Source organism: Homo sapiens, chromosome 18, assembly GCF_000001405.40.
Source record: "Homo sapiens chromosome 18, GRCh38.p14 Primary Assembly".
Classification (NCBI taxonomy): domain Eukaryota; kingdom Metazoa; phylum Chordata; class Mammalia; order Primates; family Hominidae; genus Homo; species Homo sapiens.
In genome coordinates, this window is record NC_000018.10 from 39,650,231 (window position 1) to 39,667,581 (window position 17,351).

The 17,351-nt window shown below is 35.6% G+C and overlaps 2 long non-coding RNA genes across 4 annotated transcripts in view; one reads left to right on the forward strand and one right to left on the reverse strand.

The window, feature by feature from the left end:
* MIR924HG (MIR924 host gene) overlaps nt 1-17,351 on the reverse strand; it is a 545,072-nt gene that overhangs the window by 443,307 nt on the left and 84,414 nt on the right. The window lies entirely within an intron of this gene.
* On the forward strand, nt 703-15,258 carry LOC101927857 (uncharacterized). 3 transcript variants are annotated; one of them, XR_007066448.1, is made up of 4 exons: nt 5,330-5,445; nt 6,216-6,431; nt 7,192-7,261; nt 13,089-15,258. It is a non-coding gene; the product is annotated as an uncharacterized LOC101927857 (long non-coding RNA). The 3 variants fall into 3 exon arrangements; XR_007066449.1 differs by lacking the exon at nt 5,330-5,445 and adding an exon at nt 5,669-5,757; XR_001753416.3 differs by lacking the exon at nt 13,089-15,258 and adding an exon at nt 12,870-12,957 and having other exon boundaries at nt 703-6,431.

Sequence of the window (17,351 nt, forward strand, 5' to 3'; positions counted from 1 at the left end):
ATTTTGTCCATTTCAAAAAAAATTAATGTTGATAAAACAATTATTTTGTCCCTATTTCTTAAAACATGAAAAAAGAAGACAGCTTAGGCATCTGATATTTACCTTTGCAATGGCTTTCAAAATTATTATATCAATCAAAGAAGTATATACTGAGTGTCTCAATTTCCTGTAGTATTTCACACAATGTAAGATAAAAGTGAAATAAAAACATTGCAACTCTAATCTTAAACAATATAACAGTCAACAATAGTCTAATGCTTTAGGTAATAAGTAACTGATAATATTGAATATATATATATAATTGTGATATATATATATATAAATATACATATATACACACACACAAACACACACACGTATTTGCTGGACATTGTATTAGGTTTGTTTGTTTGCTTTTTGAGACAGAGTCTTGCCCTGGTGCCCAGGATGGAATGCAGTGGTGCCATCTTGGCTCACTGCAACCCTTGCCTCTTGGGTTCAAGCAATTCTTGTGCCTCAGCCCCCACTGTACTGGGATTACAGGCACTCACCACCATGCCTAGCTAATTTTTAGTAGAGACTGGATTTCACTATGCAGGCTGGTCTCAAACTCCTAACCTCAAGTAATCTGAGTGCCTTGGCATCCCAAAGTACTGGGATTACAGGCATGAGCCACTGCACCTGGCCTGTACTAGGTATTTCATGTTTTTTCTCTAATTTTCATGGCAAGTTTTGGGATATGTATAGCAATCCTCATCTTACAAATGAAGACACTAATTGGTGGTAGAAGTGGTTAAATAACTTGCCCAGCCACACAGTCATTGAGTAGAAGAACTGGAATACAAACTCCCAACTGTCTATTGCCCAAGTGTAAATTCTACCACACCACACTAACTCTTCATAGTAGTTGCCTAGGGTTGTTGTAACAAGGGATCACAACTTGGTGGCTTACAGCAAGAGAAATGTATTTTCTCGTATTTCTAGAGGCTACAAATCTGAAATCAAGGTGTCAGCAGTGTTGGTTTCTTCTAGAAACTCTGAGGGAGATTCTGTCCCATGCTTCTCTCCTAGCTTCTGGTGTTTGCAGGCATGTTTTGGGTCACTTGTCTTCTAGACATATCACTTCAATCTCTGCCTTTTATCTTTGCCATATATTAAATATGTACATGGGTTTGAAAGCATTTTTTATTAAAAAACTCAAATATCTTCACATGGTGTTTTCTCCTTTCTGTGTGTTTGTATCTCTTCTTTTCCTATAAGGACCACAGTTGTGTTGGGTTAGGATCTACCCTAATGTAATAGACTTCATCTTAACTTAATCACATCTGTAGGCCCTATTTCCAAATATAGTCACATTCATAGGTACTGGGGGTTAGGACCATGGCATAGCTTTTGGGGGAACACAGTTCAACTCATGACATTATTTAAATCTGATCCATGTTGTATTCTTTAAATTTCTGGTTAAATAGAAAAAGTGTCTTTGAGACCCAGAATCTGGCATGTAATAGGTGCTCAGTAAATTCATGATGAGTAATGCTCCCATTAACACATCTTCACTCAATAGAAGCTTGAATTTAACCCCACATGTCTTGTGAATCTATAACTGCAAAGGAAAATTAGAGGATTTTTTGTTGATAGAAAAATTAACTTGTATGCCTGTAATTTGATACCATTGCATCACAGTACTTATTTCAAAATTAACAATTTCAGATGAGACTGTGCCCATATAGATCTTATAGAGAACAAACAGCTAAATGTGTCATTGAACTGTTACAAAAGTGATGATCCTATAAAGAAGAAATGCAACACATTGGTTTTAAAAAATTAAGTTGCAGGGCACAATTTTTTTTTCTAATTGAAAAATTAACTTTGACTTGAGAGAATATAACAAATTAAATATATACATGAAAATGAAAATATTCTCTATTGAATACCTCAGAAAAGCTTATTACACTTAAATGCATTCCGTGAAATGTATCTCCTGGCATATTTTTGATGATTTATAACATATTGAAGTGTTATGTCTTCATCAATGCCTTCTACTTGCTAATTTTTTGTGCAATTAAATATTTATCTGTAATTTGTTTTTCTTTAAAGATTGATTGGGGCTTCAAATAAAATACAATAATTAGCAACGTGAATAAAAATGCTTGTTGGATTTCTGACATCCTGAAATATATCAAAATAAAGAGAATGGAAGAAAATAAGTGTCTACAGAATATCTACTGTTAAGTAGAAAGGATTATGGATTCAAAGTAATATACAGTACTCCCCAAATCACACTGATCTAACTTTGTAACTCTAAAAATTCAAGGGGTTGAAACTGATAATCATTAAGGTGTTTTTCAGCTTAATCATTGCGTGATTAAAGTTTAATTATTCTAATCAAAGGCCATGGTATTTGTCTCATTGGTATTATTTTCTTTGAGAGACCAAGGGGGACTAGAGGAAATAGATAAGTAGATTATGGAAGGCCTTCAAAGAAGGAGAGAAAGAATAGATGTAGCCATCAACTACAGACAGGAGGATACAGAATATTTGGAGTTCTCAGTAGTCTGCTCAAGATCCAACAAGGCAGGCACTACCTCAAATGACACAGAAAACTTGTTCGTTGTGATTTTGTTTTAAACATACTACACAACAGATGTGCCATCATCCTTTTTTTTGGTCAGACTTCTAAATAAAGAAATAAAATAGATTGTTTTTTACTTTATTATCTCAATTTCAATAACCTTAATTTCCTAATTAGGAAATTAAAGTTCTAATCATATCAGAGTAGAAGGTTGCTTTCTGTGTTTGAGATGGAATTCACGAAACCATTTCTCCTCCTTGCTACAGCTTCTAAGGAACAATCATGCCCAGTGTAAACTTCATTGTAACACGAAGGTCACCATTGCGTCCCCTGGAAAGGGGATGTCGAACAATGAGGTTTTGTCTAAATAATCTAAGACATTTGTTTGAAAGTCTCTGAAATCTATGGGTGCATGGATGATCCCTCTGATGTTGTATTCATAGAAATGGTAAACATATATGAGCAGCGCCCTCTTCAAGGTTTTAGCTTGTCAATGATTGGTTTAGATTGCACTGAATTCATCAAAATCACTAGTTAAAAGTATAACACAATGAGCCATCCCAACTCTGGAAATATTTGATTAAATGACTGTGCTCATATTTCATTAGATGATTAATTGTGTGAATGCCTGAGAGTGCCAAAGAAAACAGGAATTGGGGAATTTGTCAGTAACTTAGCCACTCTGAGCCTGTGCTTTCCCATATTACAATATGGGGAGACTCAAATGATAATACTATACTGTGAAATCAGTCTCAGAAATAGTTATTCATCAATAAAGCTAGCTCTCTCAGATCTATTCCAATTATTCTTCATTGCACCAAATGGTGCCGTAATGTGAAATGTTTCACTCATTATTCTTAATACAGTAGAGACAATAAAATCAGTATGACTTTAATCATAGGTGTATCATAGTTTTCCAGCAATCTGTCTTTCTAGTTTATAGCATTTAATTCATTTCCTACCAGTGCTGATTTGGGCGATACAGTAAGTCTAACAGACTACGCTTTCTAGAGAACATAGCGTTGAATGCATGGACTCAGAAAGCATACTTGAGTTTTGTAGTCTCCAAAAGGAGTCACAATCCTGCACATTACAACCTAGTGTTGTCAAATTCCAAACAGACATTTATCTTCAGGATTCATGAATAATAAACCAAAATTATCAAGAATCCTCAGAAATTCCTAAAGTTCTAAGATATTCTATATTTTCATAATTTATCTGCAGATTTTAAAATGCAAAACTATACATTTATTATTGTATATTTCATTTAAAAAACTCTAAAGCTTTATATAACCCATAGAAGAATGATTTCTTATTATTGTCACTTCTTATATTTTTAAAATATATAATCTTGGCTTATAGCAAATATTCAAGACAGGAAAACACCAGCAAACATCATTTTGATATATTCAGATCTCCTAGCATCATTAAGAATACCACACACACTCGTGTCAAAATTGCCAACTGAAGAACTTATTTTGCTTTCAAAACTTATTTACTGGAACATCACTCATAGAATTTCTATAATAAATATAATGCATATAAACTTATTAGTATCTATTTTATTTGCAAGAATGACTCATTGTTTCCAGCAGACAGGCCCATAAACACATACTTATAGCACCAGTTATAAGCAAGAGCAATTGATTATATTATGACCAGTTCTCTCTTAGGCACTCCTGTCCTCACTACCAGAAATGTCCACATTATCCTTCCATTCCTCATGTCTTGTTTCTTGCTTTTGCATTTGATATGATATCAGCAGATTACTTTGAATCAGTAAGATCTCTATGCTGATTGTTATACTTTAAATCTCACAGAATTATAATACTTTTCCCTGTTTTCCTGACTCCTTGACTAATTTTTCTCAGGATATGGAAAGTCACATAAATTTTCAGAGAAATGCCAGGCTAGAATTTCTATACAGTTACACTGATTATCAGAGCAACCAAATCCCTGGTTTGACCAGTTGTACTTTATGGTCCACAGTAGATTGTTAATTTCATTAAAAGAATATCTTCCTTCATTGGAGTTAAATATTTGAATATTCCCCTATGTCAAAACTCTGGGACCCTGAGGATACTATTAGTAAATATATTTTGAGTCAGCTAGAATAGGTTTATATCCCCTCTATAACAATAAATAGAAATCATGTTTTATCAGTACTTAACTATCCAGCACAGTGTATGATAATAATTGAGTGTGCCAGCTCTGGAACCAGAAACCTTTGACTCAAATTCCAATAATACCATTGATCACTTATCAAATCTTTGGGCCGTTACTTCACTGAGTAAAGTAAACTTTAGTTTCCTCATCTGTAAAGTAAACTTTAGTTTCTTCATCTGTAAAAAGAGGACAATAAATATTATTTGCTTCTCAGAGATTTTATTTTTCAGATCATTTTATAAGGTAATGGAATAGCTAGACTTGGCTCCCTCTGCAGGGATAATCGCCATCTTAAAATTGTTATGCAATCTTCCCAAGCATTTTCTTTCTGTTTACTATGTGGTTGTAGCCACAAAAGACATTTTGCAACCTATAACATATTAGATCAATGTTATCTTGTATTAGATATCATTTGGCAGCTTGCTTTTCCTACTCAAAATTATTATTTCTTGTATTTATCAAACTTGACAAATGTAGATTCCATTTATTCTTTTTTAGTTGTTATATAGTATTTCCTTGTTTGGATATAACCCAGCTCCTATGTATCGTCTTTGGCGTGCATGTGCAAGTATTCATTTAGCACACAGACTAGAAATCAAACCGCTGGTTGCCAGGTAACATGAATCATCACATTTACTGTTTATTAGCAAATTGCTTGCAGCGTTCCATTTACATGTATTCTTACCAATGTGTGATATTTTTTGCTAATTTTTTTCCCAACTTGATGGGTATGAAATGACATCTCATTGCTGTTTCAGTTTTCATTATCTGATTACTGACAGGGTTAAGCAGTTTTTCATAGGTTTATTGGTGATTCCAGTTTTCTCCTCTGGGGGTTGTTGATAGGCTTTTGTCATTTTTCTGTTTTTCTTAATTGTATCTAGGAATTCTTTACACAGAGATGCCACAAAGTTTAACTTTGGCCTCAGTACTCAGGAAAAGATATACTTGGTTTCAGCCTTGGCTTCAGGCTTTGAAAGACAGAGTAACAAATAGCTACTTCTTTTCTGGCCCCTTCATCATCTGCTTGTTCAATGGAGGTAGGACCACTCAAATTACGAACAAGGTGTAGCCCTCGAATTGGCTATTAACATCTGAATACATACTAAGTATTCATTTTCAAACTTAGGAGAGCAGTCTAGATGTAACTTGGAATAAAAACCTCCATGGGCTTCTACAGGCTGTTAAAATATAAGCATATTTATGTGTTTCAATAATAAAATGTTGAAATATGCTGATTTTGAAAGCTGTTAATTTGCTGTACAAAAATTATTAAGAACTTTCAAACAGTTAAACAATGTTAGCAGTTATTAGGAATAAGAGAGAGTGCATTAGATAGATAACACTAACAAGAACATAATATCCGTTTTCAGCCAGCAAATGTTTATAAAATTTTAAATGCTAATAAAACAGGAGAATAATAGAAATTAGATTATATCACAATGCTAATCTTTAGAAGCATTAAGAGCTATATTTAATTTTTTGTTATTTAATTCAGCTTAGGCCAGAGTCTTTCAAGAAAAAAAGTCTTATTAGAGAAGTCTTCATATCTCGTGAGGATGAATTAAAAGCAGAATCTCAACTTTGCTACCTTTAAATGTCACGGAGAGAAAAAACTGCAAAACCATGTGCAACAATATCCATGATAAATCATCTTTGATCTCAACATAACGGAGACTATAAGGAGTATAAAGACTAGAAGAAAGAGTAGAAGGTAAATAAAATAATTCAAACCATTTTTTTCTCACTTACCAAACTTTAAAAGAACATACTTTAAGTATAATTTAAGGAAACAATTTCTTATCCCTTAGAGTCTATGTAGGCTGAAATTTTAAGTAACACTGAAATAATGTTTAGAGTTGCCTATATTAGATATCTGAAGCTTACAGATTTTTAAAATGCGCCACAAATTTTTTAACTTTTTTTCCCAGAAATTTTACAGATTTTTTTCTGATTTTAATTTATGTGTGTATAAATATCTTGGTGATATTATGACATGCCACATTGTTGCAAACGAACTACTCTTTTAGTGCATCAGTGTTCAGAGTAGTGATTGTATTAGCCTACAGTAGCCAAGAGTGCAGAGCAGTAATTTTCCCTACATCATGATGTCAAACTTTTAAATCCAACCGTTCAAATTAGCAATAAGTAAACTGCCATACTTACTCATTTTTTCAAAAAAAATCAGATTTGATCTCATACCTAAGAAATTAAATTTGTAATATTGGCAATCAGAGCTAGCCATATGTTTGTTATTTAGCCACCATGTGTATTTGGCAAGTTTCTACCCAGTGTATATTTCAAATATCTTTTTCCAGTCTGTTAGTTTACTTTAAGGATTTTGTTTATGACATCTTTTGGGTAAACTTCAGCACTTTGATGATCCTCTTTTATTGTCTTCTGTAGCTCTACAGCTATGGAGACTGGCTGTCAGTCTAATTTTAATTTTAATTTTAATTTTAATTCTATTATAGGTGATCCACAATCAATTCAGAACCTGGTCTTCTATGGTGGCTCACAGTTCCTGCACCCTACAATATCGTGGTAATGATGAAAGCTAGCCATCTTGTTTATTACATGTTTCTCAGTACTTAAATATGGAGTCAGAATTCTTTCACCACCGTGGGACTCCCAGGCCCCTCACTGTGGTACTTCTGTTGCTGGCACCTGGAAAGCCTGTTAGAGCACCTAGAAAGCCTGTACCTCTGTTGGGAGTGCACATCTACTACTTCGAGTTGCCTTCTCCATATCTGTTATCTTGGCCTACTGGTGACTTTCCATCAGTCATGTTAAGTTGCCAAATATGGTACCTAGAATATCATAGATTCTTAATAAGTACTATGAGAATCAATATAGACATAATAAGCAAAATCAAAATCTTTATCATCTTATTAGATATGGAAAAAAACTACAGATACGATGCAATAAAATTCCAACTGGACAAATGCGTCATTTACTTCAGGACTCTCTTAAAAGCAGCACATTTTAATTTTGGTCACTTTTTTCTGTTAGAATAATTTCCTTCATATTTAGCCAAATTCTGCCTCCTTACCATTTTTCCAGCAAGTCCCATTTGTCCCATGTATGTTTTCAGAGTAAGTATAAACATATTTTTTCCTACATGAGCCCTTCAAGTATTTAAATATCTTTATCTCTTCTTTATGTCTTTTCTTCTTTTATCATCTTTTATTACACAATTCATTTTCCAGACATTTTAATTTCATGTGGCCACCTTCAGAGTACATCATATCCTAATTCCTTTTATAATACGTGTTATTTAGAATCTAAAAGCATCCCTTTTCTGGCCTGACTGCCTAAGGACCATAGGATTACCATCTCCCTTATTGTTTCCAGAACTATGCATCTTGAAATCCACCTCAGTTTGCACACAGCATTTATCCACTACAATTTGCCCATTTATGACTAATATTGAGCTTTTGCTTTTTACCTAGCAGTTTGAACATGTCTCTACTGTGTGATCCTTGTACTGTAAACCAGTCTTTAGTTTGCACAGGAGTGTACGAGATCCTTGAGTGGAGAGACAACTCACTCTCCACCTATAAATTCCTAAATTCTAATGTAAAGAAATTTGCAGGTCATTCTAAACGCTTAATGACTGAATGACAAATAAATGAAAGACCTAGTTTTTAAATACAAACTATTTTGAATATGTTTATCACTATTTTACCTACGCAACTCCATTTTTGCTCCTAAGCACGGAATTGTATCGTTTTGTTGTTGTTTAAAGATCTGAAGTGCACATAATTCAGTTAATGACACTCCATAGTTCATGGCACACAATTGTCATTGGCCAAGGCCAGACTTTTCATTTGTTGCTATCAAAATTTAGCATGGTATCTTGGACTCATTACTCCTGCTTCTTGTAATTTGATTCCCTGTGATTAACTGTCTCACACAGCTTTGTATTATTTGCAATTTTGTTAAGAGGAGAAAGAGGATTAAGATACAGGAAACAACAACAAAGAGTAAATGATATATTAAGTTCTGAATTGTAAGCTACAGATTTTAAATGCTCGCAGAATTTGGCAAAGAGGTAGAACTTGAACATGTGAACTAGATAAGAAAAGAATAGAATCACTGAGATGTGAGCTCAGTTAAGAAGGCTGGGTGGGATTTGGGTAAGTAGAAAAGAAAGGAACTTGTGAGAAAAGGAGAAAAAAGAAGCAGCTCTGTTTGTTTGCCATAGGAAGTGGGAAGTGGCAAGATAATCATTTGGATAGTTGGAATCAGGATCTCTCTTCTTTCTGACCCTCTCTCTATTAATGTAGATAAAGTAAGAGACATTGTCAAGATGAATTTTGCCTTGCATCTACAGCTTTCCGATATAAGTTTGCAATTTTTAAATTTGTATTAGCAAAAAATACAAAGAGAGAGGCGGGCAGTGCTGGTAGGACGTGGAGTAGTAAAGATTGCTGTGTTTTCTGTTGCTACTTCTTTTCCAGGCAGACTCAGCCTTTAAGAGAAGACTTTATTCTGACTTTTTATACTAATTCATACTACGTCTCTCCGGAAGTCTAAGGACTTTTCTACTTGCTTTCAATTGAGAAGTCACTCAGATGGCTAACATCTACAAATCTCAAATCTTGTAAATAAATGCATGTTTAGATAGGAGTGTAAAGACTTCATTACCTTATATTCGCTCTTTATTAACTATTTGCCACATCCCACGTGACAACACTAGAATTTCTATTTCTAACACCATGAATTGTATAAGTAACATGTTTTTTGTTTTTCAGTTTATATTGACTGATAAAATACATAGGACCAGATTTGTTCCTGTCTACCACAAATATTTATATCATCATATAATTCACTTTTTAGCTTTCTTACCTACAGTTCTCTGTCCTCACACTTGTTTTACTTCTATTCCATTTTTATATCATGGTGCAATCCCCCAATTTAGCTTAACATCCTGAACATCCCATCTGAGAACCATTAATCTAAATAATTTTGTCTAAAATAAGGATGTTAATTTAAACATAATATTTGGCGTATAGCTAAAATAAAATTGGGTAATCAAGTGGCAAATGTTAAACTCTTACTAACATGTAGCTTTAAAGGTTTATTTTATTGCATTGTGTAATAAAGAAATGTGTGCAATGCAATTGCATTGCACTGTATCACATTGTGTGCATAATTTGCAACAGATAGATTATTAAAGTTATTAAAGAGCTTCTACATTGCTTTGTGTATACATATAGAAATATTTTCAAGTACTAAAATAATAATGATGAGAATGGGCTTGACATATATATTGCTTTTCAATTTAACATATTTCTGATGCCTATAGTCAAAGATAAAGATTCAGGATTTTACTTTATGAATAATGTGATGATGATATAATCAGAATTCATGTGGTTTCCAAAGTAGATGACTCACATCCAAATTCCCAGTTCCCTCAGAGCACTGTTGGAGGCATTCAATAACAAACAAACAAAACTAATATCTGGTATTTTTTTTAATCAAAAAGTTTTGCGCAGATTTTAGATAACTACAGTCTATTCAGTCCAGTCTATGATGAGGACAGAAATGGACTTTTAGAGGATGTTTTGTTGAGCGTGAAATAAATGCAGATGAGAAAACATTTCTAATGTCTACATCTTTCTTTGACTTCTGAAGTGAATATTACACATTCGGAACAATTCAAAATACCCTTCAATAGCTGGATTGTTTCCATGCAGTATAAGTTCTACTTTCCCAGGACAGAATTATAATAAAAGAGTTAAAAAAAAATGTATTTTTGAGCTTCCTTGCCCCCGAAGAGATTTTTAGGTTCCATCAATCAGTTGTTCCTTTACCAAACTGATTTGTAGTTGAATTCTGTGGGGAAAGTGGAAGTTTCAGAGAACCCATTTGTCTAAGGTGGATCAAAGCAGAGTTGGTGGCATAGGAGGTGGCATTGATAGAGGCTTCCTGATTCGGCGACTACCCGATCATGGCAGAGGAACAGTATTCTCACTGTGTTTCTGGAAGCTCGGCTGAGAGTCTCTTTCTTTCTGTCTAAACTAGAAAAAGTGAATTTGATTGTCTGCAACAAGAATCCTGTCTATGACAAACTTTCACCACAGAGCCATCACACATTAATTTATCTGAAACAGTCTTAAATTTGTGTCTGTTTTATCTACTTTGGGATTTAATGTATTATGTTGTCTACTAGACATGTATCTATGTGACTGTTTTCTCAGTATACTGCCATTCAGAACTTCATGAGACTCACAGAACAAATTATACCTAAACCCATAAAATATTGACTAAAGAATTAAAAAAAAATGCTTGCAGAGTTATCATTGTAAGTATACTTTGCTTCTATTACCCTACAATTACAACTTAATCTTTACATTTAAAATGTTTAAATATCACCATTCTCCATAAGCAATAATTATTACATGCACAAGTGGACACAGTTAATGAGGTAATTAGGCTATAATAAAGCAATCTATGAATTAATCAATAATCATTTATGGAGCACTATTGTGCAGCAATCTTGGCTAGGTCTAAAGTAGCCCAATGCTTAGTCCACTTTACAGCATTTACATTCCATACATTTGTATATATTGAATACTCCAATCCTCCAGTACATTGGAGTCTTCAATATATACAAAACCACAGTTGGGGCAACACCTCTATTAAAAGGAGGAATAGTTGACAGCGCTGAAAGAGACAAGTGAGGTTCTAAGCCTGGCCCTATCCTACTCTGACATTTTTAAACTGGAAGATATATGAGATAATATTTTGAATACCATTGTAATTTCTAAAATGGCTTTTGCCCAACTCACTCACCTGCAGACACTTCAAACTGCAGGCCTAGCCTAATCCAGTTTTTGAGCCAATATTGGCCCCCCAAATGCAGAATATTATAGCATCATCGTGGAGACACAGTGCGGAGTACGATTGTCTCCACTGCCAATGGCCCAGTGCTTGTTGTGTGTAGAGTGAGCCTCAGACATCTGTTTGTTTACCAGGCCACAGCCTTCCCCCAAGCATCACTGTATTCACTTTGGATTACTAATCAGCATTTCATTACCATCCCCTGAGAGCTGGACCCCATCACTTGGGTTTCCAGCCATGGATGTGACCCTCTGCCAGAGGACCATCTGGACCTGCAGTGCTGCCATCCACCTGATGGTCATTACTGCCTGAGGCCTCCTGCCACATGCCCCAGCAGGCAAGGCTGGAAACCTTCAGACACAGACATTGGTCTAAAGCAAGCCTGAGATAATGACACACCATGAAACATCAAAATGAATGCTGCTAGTTACGCTCCTCAAGGACCAATCCCATAAAATTGCTAATATTTATTAAGTGCTTCTTTTGTGCCAAGCACTGTTCTAAATACTTTGTATATATCATTTAACTTAATCTTCATAATAATCCATAAATTGGACAGCATAATCATTACCACTTAAAAATATATATAAAGTATGTTTGACCGAGCACGTTTTAGTAATCTACCCAAAGTTTCATAGCTTGTAAGTGATGAGCCAGGTTTTGAGCCTAAACACAAGCTATTAATGACTAAGTCATGATAATTAACACCTAATCTCCCAATCTATGTAGTGGTTGGCTTCAGCCTCATACCTCCCATAGGCTGAGATTTTAACATTCCATGCACACCAAGAAATATATTTATTACTATTTTAATAACATGAAACACGGCAAAAACGCGTATACAATAATTCTTTAAAAAATTATCTTTTTTCTTTTAAATGGCTTTTTTAATTGAAAATATTTTAGTCCTGTGCATTGCTTGAAAATATTCTGAAATAATTTGTTTTGAAAACTTTGTAAAGTATTTCATAAACTTTCCAAAGTAACAAATCGAATGATGAGTATAATGTATCATTTTCTGATCTCTGGGTAATGAAGTAAAGACCCTGAGTGAAGGCCTGAGTGGTTATCTTGGGATGGTATGTGATCTCAGGAATTTAGAGCGTGCTGGTTATTTAGAGGTTTTCCTGACCATTTTCCTAGTTCTTGGTTCTATTCTAGGCATTGAGGTGCCACATAAGTGGAAGAGGTATCAGTGGTCATACCAGTATCAAAGGCAGACATTGAGGGAAATACTGCATTTGTTTGGGTGAACCACAGTGTTTCTTTACTCTGTCTCTCTCCCTTCTCCTTCCCTCTACAGCACCTCTCTCTAAATCTACTGAAACGTGCAGCCTTCTTTTGGAAGAGAAAGATTCTGATATTCATTAACAATTAAATGAATCTTCAAGAAGCCCAAATAGTGATTATATTTGAATAAATATTTTAATGGGAAAAATAAGGTGAATATGAACAGATCCGTACAGAAGAAATGTTATCCTTTTATGTCTTTAATTCTTTATGTATTATGTTTTTCTTCTAGAATTTTCTTCCTCTTCATCTAATGACATGAATATGCTCCAGTGGATCCTAGGATATCTTTCACATGAGGTTACCCTTGCCCTTTGGATGTCAGGTGGAACAAAGGGATGGAAGATTTTTTGTACTGGGACATTCAGTAAACCCCTAGGCCTACCTATTGTCTAGTCAGAGTTAGAGAAGCAAATGATGTCTGTGAGGGCCTACAAGGCACAAGAGGATGAAAGTTTAACTTAAAGTTTAGATGCTGATATTCTAGCTAGTAATAATGTATGATTGCCTCATGTACTACTCTTTTTTTATATTTCTCTCCTAATGTATAAAGATGGATTTCAAAAGATAGGCAGCCTGGGATTCAAATTCTGATCATCTTTTCACTTTGTAAACTAATGGATATATTTTTTTAAAACATTGTGTTTAATACACGCCAATGCCAAAGGCTTTCTACAGACTCATGTGGAGTGGGATGATGCCCAGAATGTCGATAAATTGACAGAATAATATGAAGAACCCAACAGTCATGTGCCATGAATTCTGCAGGCACATTTGGACATGAGTGTGAGCCAGAAGATCATTCTATTTGGGAAAATTTAAATTGGGTGCAAGAAGCATTAGCTAACAGTCTGAACCGAGGTATGATCCAAACTGATAAAACTTGATGAAGTTGGAAGAAGCAAAAGGGAGTTGGTATGGATCCTCAGAATACGACAGAAACACAAGGAGTTTCAAGGGCATTTGACAACATGAAGTGCCAGCTATATTAGGGCACAGCAGAAAAAAAATGTTTTCTGGACAGACTTAATTTCTGAAGTGCCTTCTCCTCTTATACTACCATGGAAATTACAGTGTTCTTCTGCTGTCTCAGCACCTTCCACATTTAAAAAAAAATCATGCCTTTCCTTATCTGTCTACCTAATTAGACATCCATGGATGAGAAATGTGTCTATGTATCTTCAGTTTCTATATGTCCACTACAATCCTCATGCCTGGAACAGAGAGGTGTTCAATAAATCCATGAACAAAAAGAAACTGAAGTTCTAAGGTCCAAACAATGTTGATTCTTTATGAGCCAGTAGGGATTTGCCTCTTTCTAATTCCTCCTGGAGCACAAGTGTTCCCGGAATCTGGAGCAGGGTTAAAAGCAGAGATGAATAATGATCCCCATTGTAAAGTCCCAGGGATCCAGATAAGATAATATGCCCCACTCCAGGGAGAATATATATACTTTTTTATTAAGAAGACACAAGAAATGGAATGCAGCCTATGTTTGTAAGCGGACTTTAATATTAAGCCCTCAATAAATATTTGATAAATGAATGAATGATTCTGTCCAAAGAGGTTAATCATTAAAATGCTCAGAGGAGACCTCAGCAGGCCCTTGAAGAACACAGCAATTTAAGAAGTAAAAAGGAGGATGTAGGGGAATGTTAGTCAGGGTCAAGCCAAACATTGAATTCAGCATGGCAAATGAAATTTACTGTAAGTGGTCTCTGTGCTGAGATACATATTACTGTTTGTGCAAATTTAGTTCCGTTAACTTTTCCCAAAACTTCTTCACCACCTTATCTTGGAGCTTAATTCTAACTCTCTCTACTATGTCCATACTATGGGAATGTCTTCAAGATAATATTGTCTTGTTAAAATTCGGCTTCAGACTTCAGGACTTTTACATTCTTGGATGGGGATCTAAACAAGACATGAACCAATCATAAGGAAATATGGCTCCTTCTCCATTATTTTAAACAAGAAAATATTATTGTTATTGTAGCTGTTTGAGAGACAAGGAGATTAAACTTGCTACGGTTAAGAAATTTGAAAGCAGATTTTTTTAGAGGCAGACAATAAGGAAGAGTGTTTTTGGACATACTTTGCTCAAACCTTTCCTGTGTTTGAGTATTCCACCCAAACAGAACTTTCTCCATTGAGCCATTTGCTGTCCTGTCAGCTAAAAAATAAAAAATAAAAAAAACAATAAAACAAAACAAAACAAAGAGCAAAAACCATTTTATCTTCTTGATACTGTGGCACTTGATGTGCAACAGAGAGACTACATTCTTGCAATCGGTCAGAAGCAGAACTTGACCAATATGAAACAATACATATCCTAAGAAAACAACATGCACAGATAATTTGCAGAAAGTTTAGAACAACAACAATAAAATATTTTAATTTGCTCTGTATTGCAAAGCTTGTTGCTTTTCATAATGCCTTGATATAACACGTGGGATGAAGAATCTATTTTTTAAAAGAAAGACAGTTCTAATCTCCTGATCTAGATACCCTGTGCTACAAATTTTTTTAACACATTTGCCTCGGAGAAGTTTGCAAACAAAGGCAAAGACAGACAAAGAGCATATGCTAAATTGATCATTTTTGTGTCTGAATATTCACTATTTGAGAGACAAGAAACTGTTCAATCTGATTTGGGTTATGATTACACTGTAGTCCAAATTGAAGTGTCTGTGGAAATGGATTGGGTGAGCTTCTCGGTTGTCAGTCATATCACTTATTCCATGCAGAGTGAGATGAGGGCACTCATGGGAAACGGTAGAAGTGGTTCTGTGATCTACCGAGACAGATAGGTGTTCCTTTCCTTTGAGGAGGCCCTTCCTGCCTCCTCGAGCAACTACTGTGGATGAACAGCAGGGAGCAAACACCCTCTCTGTATTAGTCCATTCTCACACTGCTATAGATACCGAAATTAAATAATTTATAAAGAAAAGAGGTTTAATTGGCTCACAGTTCCACAGGCTGTACAGGAAGAATGGCTGAGGAGGCCTCAGGAAACTTTCAATCATGGCAGAAGGGCAAGCAAGCACATTTTATATAACTGGAGCAGTAGGGAAGCGAGCAAAGGGGAGGGGCTACACCCCCCCAACTTTTTTTTTTTTTTTTGAGGAGTCTCACTCTGTCGCCCAGGCTGGAGTGCAGTGCAGTGGCGTGATCTCGACTCACTGCAATCTCTGCCTCCCGGGTTCAAGCGATTCTTCTGCCTCAGCCTCCCGAGTAGCTGGGATTATAGGTGCCCGCCACCATGCCCAGCTAATTTTTGTATTTTTAGCAGAGACGGGGTTTCACCATGTTGGCTAGGCTGGTCTCGAACTCCAGACCTCGTGATCTACCTGCCCCGGTGTCCCAAAGGGCTGGGATTACAGGCGTGAGCCACCGCGCCGGGCCCGGGGCTACAAACTTTTAAACAAACAGGTCTCATGAAAACTCACTATCAAGAGAACAGCAAGAGGGAAATCTGCCCCCATGATCCAATCACCCCCTAACAGGCTTCTGCTCCAACATTAGTGATTACAATTCAGCATGAGATTTGAGTGAGGATACAAATCCAAACCATTTCACACCCTCTCCAATCCTGCCAGTGCCACCCTGGGCCTGGCTTGGGGGAGAGTCTCCAGGATGCATTCCAAGAGCTCAGATTCTGGATCAAGTGTTCTCAAATCAAATCAGCAAACATGTCTGAAAGAACTGGGCTGGGGGCAGGGTGAGATTTTGTACGTGATGCAGCAATATGGTTAGAGAGAGAGAATATAAACATGTAAAAATTTAAATAATGAAAAATACGAGTGGCAGTTTAAGACAGTAAAAGAAAAGCAAAGTAAACATTTGTTGCAGCAAAGAGTGCTGTGCAGAAGAGGAGGAATTCCTGTGAGAAATGACGTTTCAGAAATCGATCCTTGTCACTTACCAGAAACAATTTATATCATATCTGTCAGTCTTAGCAAGGGATGTAAAGACATAATTAGGTTTGCTCTCAGGGCAGTGGATGGAAGATTCTCTCTTTGTTTCTCCCTTCCCACCTGTTTCAATCAGAGTTTTCTAGAGAAACAGAACCAACAGGCAACTAGATAGATAGATAGATAGATAGATAGATAGATAGATAGATAGATAGATAAAGATAGAGGACAGATAGATAGATAGATAGATAGATAGATAGATAGATAGATAGATAGATAGATAAATAGATAGATAGATAGATGGATAGATAGACAGACAGACAGAGAGAGATGATTACATTTTAAGAAATTAGCTCATGTGATTTTGGGGGATGGCAAGCCCGAAACTGTAGGGAAAGCCGGCAGGCTGGCAGGCTGGAAACCCAGGCAGTATCTCTATTTTACAGTCTTCAGGCAGAATTACTTCTTCTCTGGGAAATCTCAGGTTTTTGCTCTTAAGGCATTCAGCTAATGGAAGTCCATCAACATTATCTGGGATAATCTTTACTTGAAGCCAACTGATTATAAATGTAATCACACCA